Raw genomic sequence first — 20095 nt, forward strand, 5'->3', positions numbered from 1 at the left:
CTAGCTCCAATTCTTCTTCCTATTCAATAGGAAGTCTATTTTCTTCTGTGTGGGCCTCATGGCTAAAGAGGGAAGACGCCTATATTCTTGCATAACAAGGCTTTCAGCTAAAGTTGAGATTTAGAAGCCTTCCATTTTACAGAGAAGGAAAGTGAGACCTAGAGTGAGTAAGCAACTTCACCCATCTTACACATGCCACAAAGCTAGGACAAGAATCCGTTGGTTCTGACCAAGCCTTAAGTGTGGTCTTTCATCTCCTTGACCTTCCCGTCTCTCCCATTTGGAGAGGAAGTATGTGATAGATTGTTATACTAATGAACCACCCTGCCCCCCATACATGCCCTTGTGGGATCCCCTCTGACAGTGATTCTGGGCTTAGCCATGTGACTGGCTGTGGGCAACAGGATATCAGCAAATGATGCAAGGAGAGGCTTGATAAGCACTTGTGCATTGGGAATTGCCCTCTTGGAACGCTGTCCTCAGATTCTGTGTGAAGTAGCTCAGTCTTGCCTCCTTCCAAATGAAAGACTTCACAGAACCAGAGGCCCAACAGGCCTGGGTTAGTCCAGCCCCCAGCTGACGTACCAGCTGAATGCAGCCACATGGGTGAGCCCAGGTAAGATCTGTAGAAAAATTACAAGCCAACACACGGAATCCTGAAAAAATGATTCTTGTTTGGGCCACTAAATTTTGGAGTAGTCTGTTACCCAGCATCAGATAACTGACACAAACTATCTGAATTAAATCCTGGGGTCCTTGACCCTGAAGGCACCAACCATAGGTCAACCCCGTGAACATCTCTTGCCAGTTCCCTTTCCTCACCAGGCTTCTTGTGAAGTTTCCCGAAAGCACGATGATCTCTCACTTGTGCATCTTTGCATATATTTGTCTGCAGCATTCTTTCCCTGTTCTCATGTTCACATTACACTTTAAATATCCTTTCTTCAAAGGTCTTGTCCTGACGCCCAGATAAGATTAGGTTCTTCCTCTTGCAAATCCTCAGTAGCACCTGTGCTTCTTTGTCTACCACTCACACTTTTAATCATGTATTTAATGTCTGCCTGTCCCACAGACTATGAGCTCCACCAAGGGTAGGGAGCATTTGTATTGCTTATTACCTAATTGTTACCTAGCCCTGAGTAGATGCTCCGTAATGATTTTTTTTTTAATTGACAGCAACTGCCTCATTCCCTGCAGTTAATTCCTATGACCCTATGGACTCTTCCTATTCTTTTTTTTTTTTTTTTGAGGTGGGTTCTCACTCTGTCACCCAGGCTGTAGTGCAGTGGTGCAATCTTGGCTCCTGCCTCAGCCTCCCGAGTAGCTGGGATTACAGGCACCCGCCACTACGCCCAGCTAATTTTTGCATTTTTAGTACAGACGGGGTTTCACCATGTTGGTGAATATCCACCCAGGGTCCTGTGGTTCTTAGAGCAGTTATAGTGACTCCAGGCCTCCTTAGTCCCAGAACCTTGTGAGTCAGCTTCATCTGCTTTTCCTAAGTGATTTCCAGACCTGAGCTTACCCAAGGCTGAGAAAAGGGGGCAAGGAAGGACAAGAGGAGCCTAAAGTCAGCAGCGGGGAGGGGCTTATGGCCAACAGAGCACACAGCTCCTGTCTCAGAGTCCAGCGACTGGGTCCTGTCCAGGTTCCTCCCACCTTGAACAAATCAGCCAGCCCTGTGCAAATGGACTCCTTTTCCCAGCTAGTTCCTCTGCCTTCCACTTGCCTCTCCTGGCTGTAGCTGGCCATTGGTACCTGGGAGCAAGCAGGCTCCCTGGCGCCACTTACCCCACCTCTGGCTGGTTTTTCAAGGAGTCCCAATGTGGCTGGGTCGCCCCAAACCTTATCTAGTATACCTTTCCCCCTTTGGATGGGATGCCCCATTTCTCCGCAGCCTGTAACCCGGCTCAACTAATATTTGCCAGTGCCTCCTACTCCAATAGAATGATGGATGTCGATGGTCCAAGAGTTTATGACAGTAATTTTCAAACTTTTTTTTTTCTAAAGCAGCAGAATCAGCCGCGCGCAGTGGCTCACGCCTGTAATCCCAGCACTTTGGGAGGCCGAGGCGGACGGATCACAAAGTCAGGAGATCGAGACCATCCTGGCTAACACGGTGAAACCCCGTCTCCACTAAAAAATACAAAAAATTAGCCGGGCGTGATGGCAGGCGCCTGTAGTCCCAGCTACTTGGGAGGCTGAAGCAGGAGAATGGCGTGAACCCAGGAGGCGGAGCTTGCAGTGAGCCCAGATCGCACCACTGCACTCCAGCCTGGGCGACAGAGTGAGACTCCGTCTCAAAAATAAATAAATAAATAAAAATAAAAAATAAAGCAGCGGAATCCTTTTCCCCTTTTCCAATTGTATGCAGGATCCTAGTGTACAAGAGAGAAAAAGACAGAGGTGTTCTGTTTGAAGGGGAGGTTTGATTTCCTCTGCTTCCCTCCCCTGCCTGTGCTGGCTCTTGAGGCATCTCTTCAGCACCTTTAGCCTCTGCGGAACCCACCTGGAAAACCCATGCTCCACAAGGTATCACAGCAGCTATTCGCCACCTGTTTTTCATGGTCAGACAGTAAGTCCTTCCTGTTATTTAACCTTGTCCCACCCACAGGTTACAGTGGCTTGAATCTTCTCTTGCTCTGTCCTCAGTTGAAAATGAAGCTGACCATGGCACCTGTGTCACGCTCAGCACATGGGCTTGTTTATTCAAGCCATTGGGAGATGCTAGAACTCACTCCTTGTCCTACCTGTCAAAACCTCCACAGGCCTTGGAAAAGAGTAAGTGGTAGGGCCAGGCACAGTGACTCACGCCTGTAGTCCCAGCACTTTGGGAGGCTGAGGTGGGCGGATCACTTGAGGTCAAGGAGTTTGAGACCATTCTGGCCACATAGTGAAACCCCGTCTCTACCAAAATATATATATAAATTAGCCGGGTGTGGTTGTGCGTGCCCGTAGTCCTAGCTACTTGGCAGGCCGACGCTGGAGAATTGCTTGAACCCAGGAGGTGGAGGTTGCAGGGAGCCGAGATCGCGCCACCGCACTCCAGCCTGGGCAACAGAGTGAGACCCTGTCTCAAGAAAAAAAAAGAAAAAAGGCTAAGTGATGAGATTCACTGACCTTGAAAGACCAAGCAAGAGGACACCCAGCCTACAGTGCGCAGCAGAGAGGGTGGCCCCAGAGTGACAGCAGCTCAGGAAATATGGTGACAGAGGATAAGTTGGCATGGGAGGAGGCAGAGCTTGGCCAGTTTGCTTTGAGGAAAAGGACCTAGGAGTCCCAGCTCCCCCACGTCAGAATCCCCCCAGTTCTGCTGATTTCCTCATTCTCCCCAGCACAGCCCAGCTCTCCTATTTTGGGAAACACCTGGCTATAGTACCCAAGGCTGCGGTACTAAGGATGTACTCAGGTGCTGTCGCATCCTGCCAGGAGAATCTCAGGGCAGCTCCAGAACTCAGAAAATGTTCTGGTTCCTTCCCAGAACTCTCCCCTGCCCAGGCACCTGAAAGAGAAGGCTCCCAGGAGAGACAGAAGTTAGTCATTAGGTATGGGGGCTTCCCTGGGAGGTGTTTCTCTTCCTGGATTTTCTTTTTTTGAGATGGAGTCTTCCCCCTGTCGCCCAGGCTGGAGTGCAGTGGCATGATGTTGGCTCACTGCAACCTCCGCCTCCTGGGTTCAAGCGATTCTCCTGCCTCAGCCTCCTGATTAGCTGGGATTACAGGCACGTGCCACCATGCCCAGCTAATTTTTGTATTTTTGGTAGAGACAGGGTTTCACCACGTTGGCCATGCTGGTCTTGAACTCCTGACCTCAGGTGATCTGCCTGCCTCGGCCTCCCAAAGTGCTGGGATTACAGGTGTGAGCCACTGTGCCTGGCCTCTTTCTGGATTTTCAACTGGAATTTTCTGCCCAGCCCTTTATTGGAGAGGCCCAAGAAGGGTTCCTGACCTTCCACCTTAGTGCTTTTAGAGAGAGCACAGTCTTTCTCAATGCCCCCTCACTCCCAGCTAAACTCTTCTTTACTGGTCTGGGGAGTAGAGGAGAGGTTTGGAATGACAGGATGAGTGCTCCAGCAAGGGCTTGTGTGCAACCCGAGGCCCAATCCAGGAAAGCCAGTTGTGGTGGCAGGGACTGGGTAGGCAACTTATGGAGCCGGGGTCTTGCTGGCTTTGTCTAATTTGGAGGGTGGTTCTTTGAGCTCGATGGTTTTCAACCTTTTTATTGCAAAAACTCTTTTTTAAAAAAATATAACCCAGAAGTCCACTGTATAAAAACAATAAAAGCAAAGTTATCCTGGGATGCTCAGGAGATTTGGGGCGGGGGGATGGGGATGGCTTGGTGACAGGAAGGGCGGGGATCTAGAGTGTTGACTGCTCCCAGCCTTCTCCCTCACCGCTGAGGTCCCTTTACAGAACCCTGCCAAGCAGGGAAGGAGAGGAAAAAAAGAAAAACCACCTGGTCCTTCTTGGTTTCTGAGACTCTGAGCCCTCATAGTTTTCTACTGCTCTGATCATTTTCTCTTGCTCCCTTGTCTATACCTAATATTCTTTTCCTAATCATTTTTCTCCTTTCCCTCTCTGTTCCCTCAAAGAACAAGTCTATTTTTTAACTTGGCCTCTCTGTGGATGAGTCCTGTCTGCCTGTCCAGTTCTAACTTCTCTCCAGATTCCCACTGTCAGCTGGTGGCTGAATACTTCCACGAGGATGACCCACTAGCATCTCAAAGGCATGTCCCAGATCGTAGAACACAGGAAGGAAAGGCCCCGGTATTTGAACCCCTACTCTGTTCTTCTTAACAGAATCACTTTGGACAAGACACTTAGTCTCTCTGGGTCTCAGTTTCCTTATCCCTGAAATAGATATGCTAATACCTATCCCTTATAATTAAAGCAGAATAATAAACATAAACTTTGGTAAACTATATTGTACTTCCTGGCTGGGTGCGGTGGCTCATACCTGTAATCCTAAGACTTTGGGAGGCTGAGGCGGGCGGTCACTTGAGGTCAGGAGTTTGAAACCAGCCTGGCCAACATGGTGAAACCCCCATCTCTACTAAAAATACCAAAAAAAATAGCTGGGGGTGGTGGCGGGCACCTGTAATCCCAGCTACTTGAGAAGCTGAGGCAGGAGAATCACTTGAACCAGGAGGTGGAGGTTGCAGTGAGCTGAGATCGCGCCACTGCACTCCAGCCTGGGTGACACAGCGAAACTCCATCTCAAAACAAACAAACAAACAAAAAAACTATATTGTGCTTCAAAAGCTTTCCCCTGTTGCTTTGTTCCCTGACAAAAAGTCAGAGAGGTTAAATAAAGCCATCATCTCCTCTTCCCTCTCTCTCACCCCATACATCTCATCAAGCGCAGAGAATAACTGGTTAAACGATGGATGAATGCTGATTCCTCCTTTCTACCCTCACTGCCACCATCCTCTTTCAGGCCCCCGTATCCTGAGATCCTTGTTTGCATGTCTAGAGTCATGATGCTAGACTCTCCAAGTTATTCTGCACACTGAAGCTGTTTTCCTGGAACTAAAATTAGACGATATCATCCCTCTTCTCGTATACCTACAAGGATTCCTTACTGTTTGCAGAATAAAACCCAAAGTCCTGTCAGCCCCATGGCATCCCCACCATGCCTTCTGGCTTCTCACCACAGTTCACGCTTTTCTTCATGAAGTGCTCCTCCTCACCACTCTCCATATTGCAAAGCTTTCTCCTCTTTCAAATACCTCCGTTTTGGCTGGGCGCGGTGGCTCACGCCTATAATCCCAGCACTTTGGGAGGCTGAGGCGGGTGGATCCCTGGGCGAGACTCCCTCTCAAAAACAAAAACAAAACAAAACCCTCCTTTTCCAGCAAGCTGTGCCTAATACCATGTCAGAAGTAGCTGCTTCTCTCTGTGCACTTCCAAGATCCACTGTTTCACTATTTGTACCAAATGCATTTGGTTTTGTGTAATATTTAGGTATTATGTCTATGTCTCACATCAGATTGTGAGCTGTCCAAGGGCTAAGACTATGGCATTATTTTTCTCTTCTACACACAGTAGGCAAGTACTCAACAAATATCTGTTAAACTGAATTGACTATCACCAAATTTCACTCCTAACAGTTACCTTATTATCCTATGTTTGGTCAGTGATGCTCATAATATCAAAATGAGATAACATCCTTTTATTTATTTATTATTTATTTAGAGACAGGGTCTCACTCTGTCACCCAGGCTGGAGTGCAGTGGCGCAATCTCGGCTCACTGCAACCTCCACCTCACGGGCTCAAGCGATTCTCCTGCCTCAGCCTCCTGAGTAGCTGGGTTTACAGGCATGCAGCACCACACCTGGCTAATTTTTGAATTTTTAGTAGAGATGGGGTTTCACCATGTTGGGCAGGCTGGTCTCCAATTCCCAGCCTCAGGTGATCCACCCGCCTCGGCCTCACCTGAGTGCTGGGATTACAGGCGTGAGCTGCTGAACCTGGCCCTTTCGTTTAAAAGAATAAAAATACTTTCTCTAAGAGCTACAGTTCTGCATTTACAACTGCCTGTCAACAGTTCTGTTTAGAGGCTTGCAGCTTATGTATTCATTCACTCAATGTTTTTTAGGTGTATGTTCTGAGCTTGGTATTGTTATAGATTATTATAACACAAAGAGAGGATACTGCAAAATAAATAAATAAAATTAAAAAGACATTGTCCTTAAGAGCTTGAAGTTTTGTTTGTTTGAGACAGAGTCTCGCTCTGGAGTGCAGTGGTGCAATCTCAGCTCACTGCAACCTCTGCCTCCTGGGTTCAAGCAATTCTCCTGTCTCAGCCTCCCGAGCAGCTGGGATTACAAGCGCCTGCCACCACGCCTGGCTAATTTTTGTATTTTTAGTAGAGACAGGGTTTCACCATATTGGTCAGGCTGGTCTTGAACTCCTGGCCTCAGATGATCCTCCTGCCTCAGCCTCCCAAAGTGCTGGGATTACAGGCGTGAGCCACTGCGCCTGGCCAGAGCTTGAAGTTTTATGAGAGAAACAAACACAAAAACAGTTGTAATACATTACAAGTGTAGTAATGGAGATATAAGCAGGTGTAATGGGAGAATGGAAGAGGGATGCTTGTGATAACTTCTTCTTCCCCAAGACAAATGGCACAGTAGGAAGAACAAGGATGAAACAGGTCTTAACTTACTGGCCTTCTACCTGGCCAGTGGTTTAACCTTTCAACCCCATTTCTTCTGCTAGACACTGTGAGTGATAAAGACCTTTTTTTTTTTTTTTCTTTTTTGGAGACAGGGTCTCTGTCATCCTCTGACAAGCTGGAGATTGCAGTGGTGCAATCACAGCTCACTGAAGTAAAGACCTTTTATATATTGCAGGAATTGCTGTAAGGGAAAAACTAATAGGAGGCTAAGGTGGAAGTATCACTTGAGCCCAGAAGTTGGAGACCAGCCTGGGCAACATAGTGAGACAATTTGAAAAAATCAGCTGGGGCTGGTGGCATGTGCCTGTAATCCAAGTTACTCAGGAGCCTGAGGCAGGAGGATCACTTGAGCCCAGGAGTTACGATTGTGCCCCTGTACTCCAGCCTGGGCAACAGAGAGAGACCCTGTAATTAATAAACAAGCAAATAAATTTGTATACAAGTACTATAAGCCATCCCCTCCTGCCACCTTTCCTATTCCCACAGTCTTGTTATCCTCCAGTTCACCCCAGATCAGAATCTCAAAACCATCTTTGATGCCCTCTTCCTTTCCCTTCACACCAATGTCACCAAATCCTTCCCACCTGCCCTGGCACGTTCTCTGCATCCTGCCCTTCCTTTCTCTTTCCATCTTATTGCAGCCTCATGCCCTCCTTGTCATAGAGGGCCTCACACCTGGACTGTTGTGACAGCCCCCTGTGCCTGTGTCTTTCAGTCCTACTCTTTTTATTTTTATTTATTTTTTGAGACGGAGTCTTGCTCTGTCACCCAGGCTGGAGTGCAGTGGCGCAATCTCAGCTCACTGCAACCTCTGCCTCCCGGGTTCAAGAGATTCTTCTGCCTCTGCCTCCCGAGTAGCTGGAACTACAGGCACGCGCCACCACACCCAGCTAATTTTTGTATTTTTAGTAGAGACGGGGTTTCACCATATTGGCCAGGTTGGTCTCGAACTCCTGACCTTGTGATCCACCTGCCTTGGCCTCCCAAAGTGCTGGGATTACAGGCGTGAGCCACCACACACAGCCCCCACTCTTTTTAAAATTCAGATGTCTCTTCCTGAAAGATTGCTTTCTTCATGTCATTCCCCTGCCCCAATAAATTCAGATTTTCCCTTATATCTGAAGGCCAAAGTCCAAACCTTATAGTCTCACATTTAAGCTTTATGGCTATTTGGCTCTATTTTATTTACCCAAACTTATCTGGTCTTAGCCTAAACCTGTAATATTAACAGGACTGGCTCTCTATTGTCTCCTAAACAACCATGCTTAAGCCCTAACATCCATAACTCATCCTCTCATTCACTGTGGACTCTCCCAATTTTAAGGGGGTAGGGTGGGAAGGAGCAGACATGGACATACGTGTAACGTGCAATTACAGTACAGTGGGATAGTATGGTGCCATCTGCCCCCTGGGAATAGCCTGCCACTCCTGTCCATCCTTCAAGACCATGCTCAGAGCACATGTCCCTGGTGCGGCTTTCCTGGATGAGTTTATCACTTTCTGAACACCTGTGGCACTCACTCTCTGCACTCCTATAAATACATTATTCTCTTTTCTTTTTTTTTTTGAGACGGAGTCTCGCTCTGTCACCCAGGCTGGAGTGCAATGGCGTGATCTCGGCTCACTGCAACCTCTGTCTCCTGGGTTCAAGCAATTCTCCTACCTCAGCCTCCCGAGTAGCTGGGATTATAGGCGCCTGCCACCATGCCCAGATAATTTTTGCATTTTTCGTAGAGATGGGGTTTCACCACGTTGGCCAGGCTGGTCGCGAACTCCTGACCTCAGGTGATCCGCCGGCCTCAGCCTCCCAAAGTGTTGGGATTACAGGCGTGAGCCACCGCGTCCAGCCATAAATGGTTCTCAAATTTGAGGCACAAACTACGGGGCCCCACTGTCAGAGATCCTGTCTCTAGAGGTCAGGGATGGGGCCAGGGAATTTACATTTTTAGCTGACTCCAATGAGGGTTTGCCGACCTCGCTTTGAGTATATCTGCATGGATGACCTTGTACTCGTCACTTCCGCCCTTTCACTTCCACTGTAACTCTATGTGGGCAGAAAACATGTCTTCTTGTCTCTTTGTGGATCAGCCCCCAGGCACCACCAATTAATTGCCTAGCACAGAGAAAGTGCTCCCCAAATTTTACTTTTTCTTGTTCAGAATACAATGCCATCCAAGTTCTCATTTGGCACTTACAACAGCCGCGCCAGGTAGGAAGAAAGGGCGTCCTTCTTACAGACAGATGGGGAGAGAGTCCAAGCCACCAGAGAGCAGAGACTGGCTGATGCAGGCTTAGTTAGAAATCATAGTGCAAGCCACACAGTTGCTTTAGTTGTGGGCTCCCTGGCACTAGCTTCCTGGACTGGTGTTGAACTTTAAGCCCACTTTCCTCTTCTAGAAAGGAACGAGGAAGGAACTGACATTTATTGAGCAATTACTCTCTGCTAAGTACTGGGCTGCAGGATGTATGCATTATTTCAGGGGATCAGGGAAGTACAGCAATGGATACCCCGTTTTTGTTTTTGTTTTTATTTTTTCTGAGACAGAGTTTTGCTCTTGTTGCCCAGGCTGGAGGGCAATGGTGCGATCTTGTCTCACTGCAACCTCCGCCTCCCAGGTTCAAGCGATTCTCCTGCCTCAGCCTCCTGAGTAGCTGGGATTACAGGTGCATGCCACCAGGCCCGGCGAATTATTTTTGTATTTTTAGTAGAAACAGGGTTTTGCTATGTTAGCCAAGCTGGTCTCGAACTCCTGACCTCAGGTGATCTGCCCACCTTGGCCCCCCAAAGTGCTGGGATTACAGGATACCCCAGTTTTATACATGTAAAACGTGGAGGCCCAGGACATCCGAGTTTTTATGCCTCATTGCATAGAATTGAAGAGGCAGAACAGGCCAGACAAGGATAAAGTGACTTCATATTTGTTGGAGGTCAGTTTTATATGCTGGTGTATTGTTCTGGGTGAAAGCACCTAGAACAATTAACCCTCACAACTTAATCCTCACAATTACCTTGCAAAGGAGGTCTCATTTCCTACTCATTTTAAAGATATGACAGTAGTTTCAGAGAGGTTATGCAATTTGCCCAAGGCCACACAGCTGAGAAGAGGAAAAGCTGTGGGTGGTAGAGCTGGGATTCGTGGACTGTCTGACCTCAAAGCTTGTGTGGGTTCTGCAGCCCCGTCCTGCATCGTGCCATGGGGTCCATGCACAGTGTGCACAGCATGTCAGTCGCAGAAACAGGAGTAGGTCCCAGGTCTCTGCATACCTGCTGCTCCCTGACGATATCATCTAGCGTTCTGTTTGCTCAGGGCCTGGATTTGGCTTCTGTCCTGCCCTCCCAAATTCCCACTGGAGACTACTGCTGGGGAAGTTATGGTGCACAGGAAAGAGGATGAGAAAGTGGGGAAGACCAGGCTTTCGACTAGCTGAGAGGTAGGGCTGGGGAGCACGCACCTAGGAAGGCTGGCTTCTGTAAAGTAATTGGGAGGTGGGGGTTTGTGTTTCTCCCAGATCCAGCTGTCTGAGAAGTTCAGGAAAGTGTGGCTGTCCCCTCCGCCCACCCCAAACACACTCCCACCTTCACAGACCCTCCCAAGGACAGACTTCCCAGACACAGATCCGGAGGTGGCTCACAGATGTGCAGGATCAGATTCAAGGTGACACGCACCAGCATACACAGAACCACAGGGCTGCCCGGGCCCGGACTGCCCCACAGAGGCGGCAGATGCACACAGAGGTCAGCCACAGCACCCCACATGGAGGGCTGCTCACCCACAGAGGTGCAGAGGGTGCCACCTCCACCAGCCACCTTGAAGGTACCTTGGAGATTGTCAGGAAGGATGGGGAGGGCATAACAGTGTTTTCTCTGTAACTCCCCTCTCCCCCGCCATGGAAGGAGTCCCACTCTTAAAAGGGAGCTCTGGCTCCTTTCCTACCATTTGTTCTTTCACCAGGCTCAGTTCAGTTCCCCTCTGGCCTGGGGAGGTGTGGGGTGGGGGAGGGGCCGGAGTGTAGACCGCGAGAGGGAGAAGGGGAGGAGGAGGGGACGGCAGGAGCCTGTCCAGGGCTTCCGGGCGGAGTGCAGTCAGGGGGGCCTCGACAACCTCACTTTGCCGTACCAGTGGCAGCCCAGATGGTGGGAGCAAGGTGCTTATTCAACTGCTGCCAGGATTCCTTGGTCCTGGAGGTACTGGGAACAATGGTGGGAATCAGAGGAGGGGACAAGGTTGGGTGGCCAACCTCTAGAGTGGTGGGATTTGGGAGACTCGGACTGGGCCACTGTCAGAGGGGGCTGACACCTGTTATAGTGCCCCTGTGGCGGACCCTTCCTCCAGGTCAGGGTCCCCAGCTGATGTGTCTGTCTTGCCTCAAATCCTTCCAGACGGCGTATGTGTCAGATGAGGAGCAAGGGGAACTAGGCAGCCAGGGGAGACGAGGAGGGAATGGGGAGCTTGGGAACACTTCTGCCAACAACCACGTGACCCCCGGGGAATGGCTGGGGAGGGGTCCCTCCTGCTGTCCCCACCAGCCCATTTGAGCAGGGGCTAGCTTGAGGCATCCCCATCCTGTCTCCCCTCTGCTCATGCAGGCGGAGGGCTAAGGGCTGGCCTGACCACCTTACCGTCTGCGGGGGGCTGCCCACGGTCATCTCCACGTAGTAGCCCTGCCCCGACTTGCCCCTCAGGTTGTCCACCATCTCCACAAAGCTGCCCCTCCGGCCGGGCTCCTCGGGCTCTTCGTCGGTCTCCCGGGGCAGCCGCAGCCCCAGGGGGGCGCCCCCCAGGCCGCTGCGCAGGGGCAGCCGGATGCCGTGCTGGGTGCCGTGGGCAGGCAGCACTCCCGCGCCCATCCACAGCAGGAGCCAGGGCAGGGCTTGGGCCATGGTGGGCCCCGGCCTTCGGGCCCTCTGGGCTCGCACTGGCCCACGTCCGTCCCTGGCGCCTGCCCCCAAGTCTGGGTGGTGCTGGTGGCTTCTCAGGAGAGGGAGCTTGGGGGCATCAGGACGCCAGGGCCTGCAGGGCCCTGGGCCAGCCCCCGGGTCCGGGCTGTGGAGAGCGGTCAGGGGAGATCCGCAGAGCACGGGAGCAGGGGAGAGGCTGGGATCCGGAGCCCGCTACATCGGCACGGCGGCGGCCAGCCTGGGCAGCGGGCGCGGGCTCCCGGCGGGGCTGGGAGGGGCGGGCATGGCGGGCCGGTGGCGGCTTCCCTGGTCCCCCCGGCGGGCGGCGGCGCGGGCAGGGGCAAGGGCTCCGGGCTCCTGCGGCTGCGTTGGCTGCTCAGGCCACCATAATCCAGCTCGCGGCTCGCAGCTCCCGGGCGGGCTGGGGAGGCGGAAAGACTTGTGGCGGCGGCTGTCAAAGCCAAAAGGTTTTCGCTTTTCCCTGGGATCGCTGGGAAGTGTAGTCTTCCCATGGCAGGCAATCCGGCTTCCGGGGCTGGAGAGGGGTCTGGGATGCCCTCTGCCGAGGTGGAGTCCGCCCTGCAAGGCCCTGGCGGGAAGGGCCAGACGGATGGAGAGGGGCACACCTCCCGTCTGTCAGTCTTTCTTTCAGCATGGAAGGAGCACCCACTGTATGCCAGGCACACTGCCAGGCGCTGGAGATACAGAGAGAAATAAACGGTGATTCTACACGGGACAGTTAAGTGATTCCTGCCGCGGTGGGGTTTCACACTATACGATGTGGCATTAAGGAGTAGGGATTTGGAGGGACATCTAGGGGATCTGGGAAGACTCAGTGGGAGAAGGTGGTATTTAATTTGAGCGTTTAAAAATGGGTAGGATTTTCACGAGCAGAGATTGAGGGAGCAGGATGAAAGGGGAGGAAGAGTTTTTCCAGGCTGCAAACCAGCGGAGCAGGGTCCAAAAGGGGAAAGTGCAGTTGTCTTATTTTCTCCTGCGCCTGCGATCTGCGGGCAGGTAAGAGCCAGTGGGTCTTCTCCCATCTGAACCTGTTTGTGCCCTTGAGGCTCTACTTGAATCCTTATGGCTCCTCTGATTTTCTGCACCATCAGCCAGACTGAGGAGAAATGGCTGTTGATAGCTTTAAAGTGTTAACACTCCGAAAAGTATCTCTATATTAACTGGTAAGAGCTTAAAGCCTTGAACCAAAAGCGTTAGAGTTCTAATAGCTTAAAGGAGAAAAGCCGGTATGGTTTTAACAATATATTGTTTATCAAATGTGGAAAGCCATTGATAAAATTCAGCAGTTACTCTGATTTAATTTTTTTAAAAAATGAAAGGGAATCTTCATTTTTCTTTTGAAAAGGAGACTTGCTCTGTCACCCAGGCTGGAGTGCAGTGGCATGGTCTCAAGTCTGCAACCTCCGCCTCCCGGGTTCAAGCAGTTCTCATGCCTCAGCCTCTGAGTAGCTGGGATTACAAGCATGCGCCACCATACCCAGCTAATTTTTGTATTTTTAGTAGAGATGGGATTTCACCATGTTGGCCAGGCTGGTCTCGAACTCCTGGCCTCAAGTGATCCGCCCACGTCGGCCTCCCAAAATGCTGGGATTATAGGCATGGACCACTGTACCCAGCCAGGAAACTTTTTAAACAAGATAACGACAACAACAACAAATGTAGTAATAACAGGCTACGTTACTCCCATTAAAGGCAGGCTTTGGAAAGGAAAGATCATTATCTCTACTCTTTTTTTTTTTTTTTTTGAGAAGGCGTCTCGCTTTGTCGCCCAGGCTGGAGTGCAGTGGTGGGATCTCAGCTCACTGCAAGCTCTGCCTCCCGGGTTCAGGCTATTCTCCTGCCTCAGCCTCCCGAATAGCTGGGACTACAGGCGCCTGCAACCACGCCCCGCTAATTTTTTGTATTTTTAGTAGAGACGGGGTTTCACCGTGTTAGCCAAGATGGTCTCGATCTCCTGACCTCGTGATCCTCCCGCCTCGGCCTCCCAAAGTGCTGGGATTACAGGCGTGAGCCACCGCGCCCGGCCGATCATTATCTCTACTCTTATCCTACACGGTTCAGACCGGTCTGATTGACTCAAAAGACAAGAAAATGGAAAAAGTGTTATATATGTTGGAAAGCAAAGGAATCATTAGTTGCAGATTATATGATATGGATAGAAAACCCTAATCAATAAGATGATTAGACACAAGTTAAAAAAATCGAAATCAAAATAGAGAAATGTATCTATGGGAATTGTAGATATGATAGAGATGGCATTCGTATTAGAGGAAAATGGACGCATTATTCAAAAACTGTTGTTGGGACGTCTGGCAGCCCATTTGGAAGGAAAAAAAACCAAATCCAATTTCATTCCTCTGAAAATAAACTCCAGATAGATTAAAGAATTTAACATTAAAATAAAACTACAGGAAAAATAGAATATTTTCATGATCTTATATTGAAGAAGACCTCCCTAACAAACCCTAGAAGGTAAACAAACCCAAAAACTGGATGGATTTGATGACTTAAATATTTAAAACTTCTGTAGAATCAGAAGTATTCCAATACCACCAGTGTTCTAATTCTGGTTCAATTAGTAACTGGGAGAGCCCACTCTGGTTACTTACTTTTTGAGTCCTTTTTTTTTTTTTTGAAACAGTCTCACTTTATCACCCAGGCTGGAGTGCAGTGGCTTCATCTCAGCTCACTGCAACCTCCTCCTCCTGGGTTCAAGCGATTCTTGTGCCTCAGCCTCCTGAGTAGCTGGGATTACAAGCGCACACCACCATGCCTGGCTAATTTTTTTTTTTTTTGAGACGGAGTCTCCCTCTGTCACCCAGGCTGGAATGCAGTGGCATGATCTCAGCTCACTGAAACCTCTGCCTCCTCAAGCGATTCTCCTGCCTCAGCCTCCCAAGTAGCTGGGACTACGGGCACGCGCCAGCACGCCCAGCTAATTTTTGTATTTTTAGTGGAGACGGGAATTCACCATGTTAGCCAGGCTGGTCTCTAACTCCTTACCTCAAGTTATCTGCCTGCCTCAGCCTCCCAAAGTGATGAGATTACAGGCGTGAGCCAACTTGCCTGGCCCCTTTTTGAGACTTGATTTTATCATTTGTAAAATGGAGATAATGATATTAATAGTTCAAACCTCAAAAGGTAAGAATTCGATGAGACAATCCATGTAAAGCATTTAGAATGGTGTCCAGCATATTGTAAGTGCTCAATAAAGGTCAGCTATTAGGATTATTACTGTTGCAACTACTGAGAAAACTGACATTTACAAAGTTAAAAGATCAGTCACAGATTAAGAAACAACATTTATCACACAATAGAGACAAAGGGCTAATGTTTATAATGTGCAAAGAGCTTCTACAAATCAATATAAATCCCAAACAACCTGATAGAAAAATGAACAAAGGGTAAGGGGAAAGAGTGAGGAAAAACAACAACAAAACACAAAAAAGAAAAGAAAAAGAAAAATGAACAAAGAATGTGAACAGTTAATTCACAGAGGAAATTCAAATGGATGATAAACATAAAAAACCTTGAAAAAAGCTTAACTTCGTTAATAGTTGAAAGAACACAAAGTAAAACAGTAGATTCTTTGTTCCTTTTTCTTTCTTTCGTCTCCTCTCAGATTGGTAACATTTGGTATTGGTGAAGGTATTGTTTGGACTGTAAATTATTCCATTTTTGGAGAGTAATTTGCAATGCCTATTAATATGTTAAAAATGCAAACTCTTTGGGCAATGGCATTTCTAGGACCCTTTCCAACAAAAACAACAATATTTCAGCAGTGTGTACTATGGCAAAACCTTGGATTCAAAACAAATGAAGCTGGGTGTGATAGTTCACGCCTGTAATCCAAGCCACTTGGGAGTCTGAGGTGGGAGGATCGCTTGTGGCCAGGAGTTCAAGACCAGCCTGGAGACAGAGCAAGACCCCATCTCTTTAAGCAAAACCAAAAATAATCATCAAGCCTGTAATCCTAGCACTTTGGGAGGCCGAGGTGGGTGGATCACCTGAGGTCAGGAGTTTGAGACCAGCCTGGCCAACATGGTGAAATCCTGTCTCTACTAAAAATACAAAAAAATTAGCCAGGCATGGTGGTGGGTGCCCATAATCACAGCTACTTGGGAGGCTGAGGCAGGAGAATCGCTTGAACCCGGGAGGTGGAGGTTGCAGTGAGCCGAGATTGCACCACTGCACTCCAGCCTGGGTGACAGAGCAAGACTGTCTCAAAAAAAAAAATTTAGCTAGGTGTGATGGCACATGCCTGTAATCCCAGCTACTTGGGAGGTTGAGGCAGGAGAATCGCTTGAACCTGGGAGATAGAGGTTGCAGTGAGCCGAGATTGCGCCACTGCCCTCCAGTCGGGTGACAGTGAGAATCGGTCTCAAAAAAAAAAAAAAAATTAAATAGGGAACAAGACATTTGTTCAATGAAATCCTAAGTAACCATTAAAAACAATGGGATAGCTTCTTATAAACTGGCCTTCCAGGCTGGAGTGCAGTGGCACAGTCTTGGCTCACTAAAACCTCCACCTCCCAGGTTCAAGCAATTCTCTGCCTCAGCCTCCTGAGTAGCTGGGATTACAGGCGTGTGCCACCATGTCTGGCTAATTTTTGTATTTTTAGTAGAGATGGGGTTTTGCCATGTTGGCCAGCCTGGCTAATTTTTGTGTTTTTAGTAGAGATGGGGTTTCACCACGTTGGGCAATTCTCTGCCTCAGCCTCCTGAGTAGCTGGGATTACAGGCGTGTGCCACCATGTCTGGCTAATTTTTGTATTTTTAGTAGAGATGGGGTTTTGCCATGTTGGCCAGCCTGGCTAATTTTTGTGTTTTTAGTAGAGATGGGGTTTCACCACGTTGGCCAGACTGGTCTCGAACTCCTGACCTCGTGATCCACCTGCCTCGGCCTCCCAAAGTGCTGGGATTACAGGTGTGAGCCACCGCGCCCGGCCTGTTTATGACAAGTTAAAGAAAGCATGTCAGGGGCCTGACGTGGTGGCTCACACCTGGAATCCCAGCACTTTGGGAGGCCAAGGCGCGTGAATCAGGAGTTCAGGGCCAACCTGGCCAAGATGGTGAAACCCTGTCTCTACTAAAAATACAAAAATTAGCTGGGCGTGGTGGCGGATGCCTGGAATCCCAGTTACTCGGGAGGCTGAGGCAGAGAATTGTTTGAACCCGGGAGGCGGAGGTTGCAGTGAGCCAAGATCATGCCAATGCACTGTAGCCTGGGTGACAGAGTGAGACTACGTATCAAAAAAAAAAAAAAAGCACATGTTAGAACAATAACATTATGATCTCATTTCTGTAAAAATTAAAAAGAATGGGCTGTGCATATATGCATAAATATGTAGGTATATACATTTACATCTGCATAAGCATAAAAAAATATGGAAGATAGCACCCACAGTGTCAACAGTGGTTTCCTTTGAAGTGTAGGGTTTAATTTCTTCCTTAGTTTGCTCATTCATTCATTCAGTAAATGTACACTGAGTGCCTACTACACGCTAAGCACTATTTTAGGCACTGAGGATACAATGATATGTAAAATCCCTGTCCTCATGGAGCTTACACTCTAATGCAGGAAGACAGACAGTAAAGAAATAAAATTATAGTATCTTGGATGGTGATATGTGCTATAGAGAAAAATAAAATAGAGAAAGGAGATGGGAGGGCGGTTTGCAGTTTCAAATAAAGTGGATTGAAAGTGTAGAGGGAACATTTTATATCTTTGTATCCTTAAATAATTGGTAGGATTATCAAGTGTTTTCCTTTCTTATCATGTGAGTAGTTTTCTGTATAGCCCAAATAAACAGTATAAAAAAGAGAATAAAAAGTTATTTTTTTCCCAGAATTAAAATGCTTGTTTATTTATTTGTATTTAGAGATGGGGTCTTGCTCTGTCACTCAGGCTGCAGTGCAGTGGCATGATCATGGCTCACTACAGCCTTGACCTCCTGTGCTCAAGTGACCCTTCCACATCAGCCTCTGTAGATGAGACTACAGGTACACACCATCAAGCCTGGTTAAATTTTTGGGTTTTTTTTTAAGAGATTGGGTCTCACTATATTGCCCAGGCTGGTCTTGAACTCCAGGCCTCAAAGGATCTTCCTGCCCCGGCCTCTCAAAGTGTTGGGATTACAGATGTGAGCCATTGCTCTCGGCTGTTACTGTTTTTTGATTAACATTTAATTGTACATGTTTATGGAGTACAATTTGATATTTTGATACATATATATGTTGCATAATGATCACATCAGGATATTTAGCATGACCACCACTTTATTTATTTATTTATTTTTGAGGTGGAGTCTCGCTCTGTTGCCCAGGTTGGAGTACAGTGGCGTGATCTTGGCTCACTACAACCTCCACCTCCCAGGTTCAAGGGATTCTCCGGCCTCAGCCTCCTGAGTAGCTGGGACTACAGGCGTGTACCACCATGCCCGGCTAATTTTTTGTATTTTTAGTAGAGATGGGGTTTCACCATGTTAGCCAGGATGGTCTCGATCTCCTGACCTCATGATCCGCCCGCCTCGACCTCCCAAATGCTGGATTTATAGGCGTGAGCCACCGCGCCCGGCCCACATTATGCATTTATAATTTCTTTGTGGTAAGGACATTCAAAAGTCTCTCTTCTAGCTATTTTGAAATATACCGTATCAGTGTTACTGTTAACCATTGTCACCCTACTGTGCAATAGGATACCAGAATTTATTCCTCCTTTTCCTTTTTCTTTTTTTTTGAGACAGAGTTTTACTCTTGTTGCCCAAGCTGGAGTGCATGGCACGATCTTGGCTCACTGAAACCTCTGCCTCCCGGGTGCAAGTGATTCTCCTGCTTCAGCCTCCCAAGTAGCTGAGATTATAGGCATGTGTCACCACGCCTGGCATATTTTGTGTTTATATATATATATGTATATAGATAGATTTTTTTTTTTTTTTTTTTTTTTTTTGGAGATGGAGTCTTTTCTGTCACCCAGGCTGGAGTGCAGTGGCGTGATCTCGGCTCACTGCAACCTGCACCTCCCAGGTTCAAGCAATTCTCCTGCTTCAGCCTCCTAAGTAGCTGGGACTACAGGCTCACGCCACCATGCCCAGCTAATTATTTGTATTTTAGTAGAGACGGGGTTTCACTGTGTTGCCCAGGCTGGTCTCGAACTCCTGAGCTCAGGCAATCTGCCTACCTCAGCCTCCCGAAGTGCTAGGATTACAGGTGTGAGCCACCGCATCTGGCCTAATTTTGTATTTTTAGTAGAGACGGGGTTTCTCCACGTTGGCCAGGCTGGTCTTGAACTCCTGACCTCAAGTGATCCACTCACCTCCACCTCCCAAAGTGCTGGGATTACAGGTATGAGCCACCGTGCCCAGCCTATTCCTTCTAATAGTAACTTTATACTCATTGACCAACCTTTTCCCATCTTCTGCTCTCTTTTCCTCAATCTGGTAACCACTGTTCTACTCTCTATGAGATCAACTTTTTTTTTTTTTAATTCCACATGACTGAGATCATGCGGTATTTGTCTTTCTGTGCCTAGCTTATTTCACTTAACACCATGTCCTCCAGGTTCATTCATGTTGTTGCAAATGGTAGGATTCCATTTTTTTTTATGGCTGAATGTTATATCATTGTGTATATATACCACATTTTCTTTTTCCATTCATCTGTTGTTGGACAGCTGGGTTCATTGCATATCTTGGGTAATGTAAATAATGCTGCAGTTAACATGGGGGTGCTGAAATCTTTTTAACATACTAATTTCATTTCCTTTGGATATATACTGAGTAGTGGGATTGCTGGATTGTGTGGTAGTTCTATTTTTAATTTTTTGAGGAACCACCATACAGTTTCCATGGTGATTGTACTAATTTACAGTCCCACCAACATTTTAAGTATTCCCTCTTCTCCATATCCTCACCAGCTTTTGTTTTCCTTTGTCTGTTTTATTGTAGCCATTTTAACTGGAATAAGGTGGTATCTCATTGTGGTTTTGGTTTGCA

The 20095-nt window shown here is 48.1% G+C and overlaps 2 protein-coding genes across 5 annotated transcripts in view, besides 4 other annotated features; one reads left to right on the plus strand and one right to left on the minus strand.

Moving 5' to 3' along the window:
• The window catches only part of BACE1 (beta-secretase 1), a 30559-nt gene extending 18036 nt beyond the window's left edge, over nt 1-12523 (minus strand). For all 4 annotated transcript variants that reach the window (NM_138973.4, NM_138971.4, NM_138972.4 and 1 more), the window contains exon 1: nt 11802-12523. In NM_138973.4, the coding sequence (NP_620429.1) occupies nt 11802-12062 (261 nt within the window). In that variant the 5' untranslated portion in view covers nt 12063-12523. The remainder of the gene's footprint in view (nt 1-11801) is intronic.
• Nucleotides 10389-10911: an enhancer, noted in NCBI's record as "H3K4me1 hESC enhancer chr11:117184838-117185360 (GRCh37/hg19 assembly coordinates)". NCBI's record gives its function as "activates a minimal SCP1, AML or CMV promoter by ChIP-STARR-seq in naive H9 embryonic stem cells {active_cell/tissue: H9 hESC(naive)}" and the evidence as "EXISTENCE:reporter gene assay evidence [ECO:0000049][PMID:30033119]".
• Nucleotides 10912-11433: an enhancer, noted in NCBI's record as "H3K4me1 hESC enhancer chr11:117185361-117185882 (GRCh37/hg19 assembly coordinates)". NCBI's record gives its function as "activates a minimal SCP1, AML or CMV promoter by ChIP-STARR-seq in naive H9 embryonic stem cells {active_cell/tissue: H9 hESC(naive)}" and the evidence as "EXISTENCE:reporter gene assay evidence [ECO:0000049][PMID:30033119]".
• Nucleotides 11962-12071: a silencer, noted in NCBI's record as "silent region_3936". NCBI's record gives its function as "represses an Ori minimal core promoter by ATAC-STARR-seq in GM12878 lymphoblastoid cells {active_cell/tissue: GM12878}" and the evidence as "EXISTENCE:reporter gene assay evidence [ECO:0000049][PMID:35858748]".
• Nucleotides 12162-12251: a silencer, noted in NCBI's record as "silent region_3937". NCBI's record gives its function as "represses an Ori minimal core promoter by ATAC-STARR-seq in GM12878 lymphoblastoid cells {active_cell/tissue: GM12878}" and the evidence as "EXISTENCE:reporter gene assay evidence [ECO:0000049][PMID:35858748]".
• The window catches only part of CEP164 (centrosomal protein 164), a 91489-nt gene continuing 89438 nt past the window's right edge, over nt 18045-20095 (plus strand). The window contains exon 1 of the mRNA NM_001271933.2: nt 18045-18104. The gene's annotated coding sequence lies outside the window, so the exon portion shown is untranslated. The remainder of the gene's footprint in view (nt 18105-20095) is intronic.

This window comes from Homo sapiens, chromosome 11 (assembly GCF_000001405.40).
Source record: "Homo sapiens chromosome 11, GRCh38.p14 Primary Assembly".
Taxonomy (NCBI): domain Eukaryota; kingdom Metazoa; phylum Chordata; class Mammalia; order Primates; family Hominidae; genus Homo; species Homo sapiens.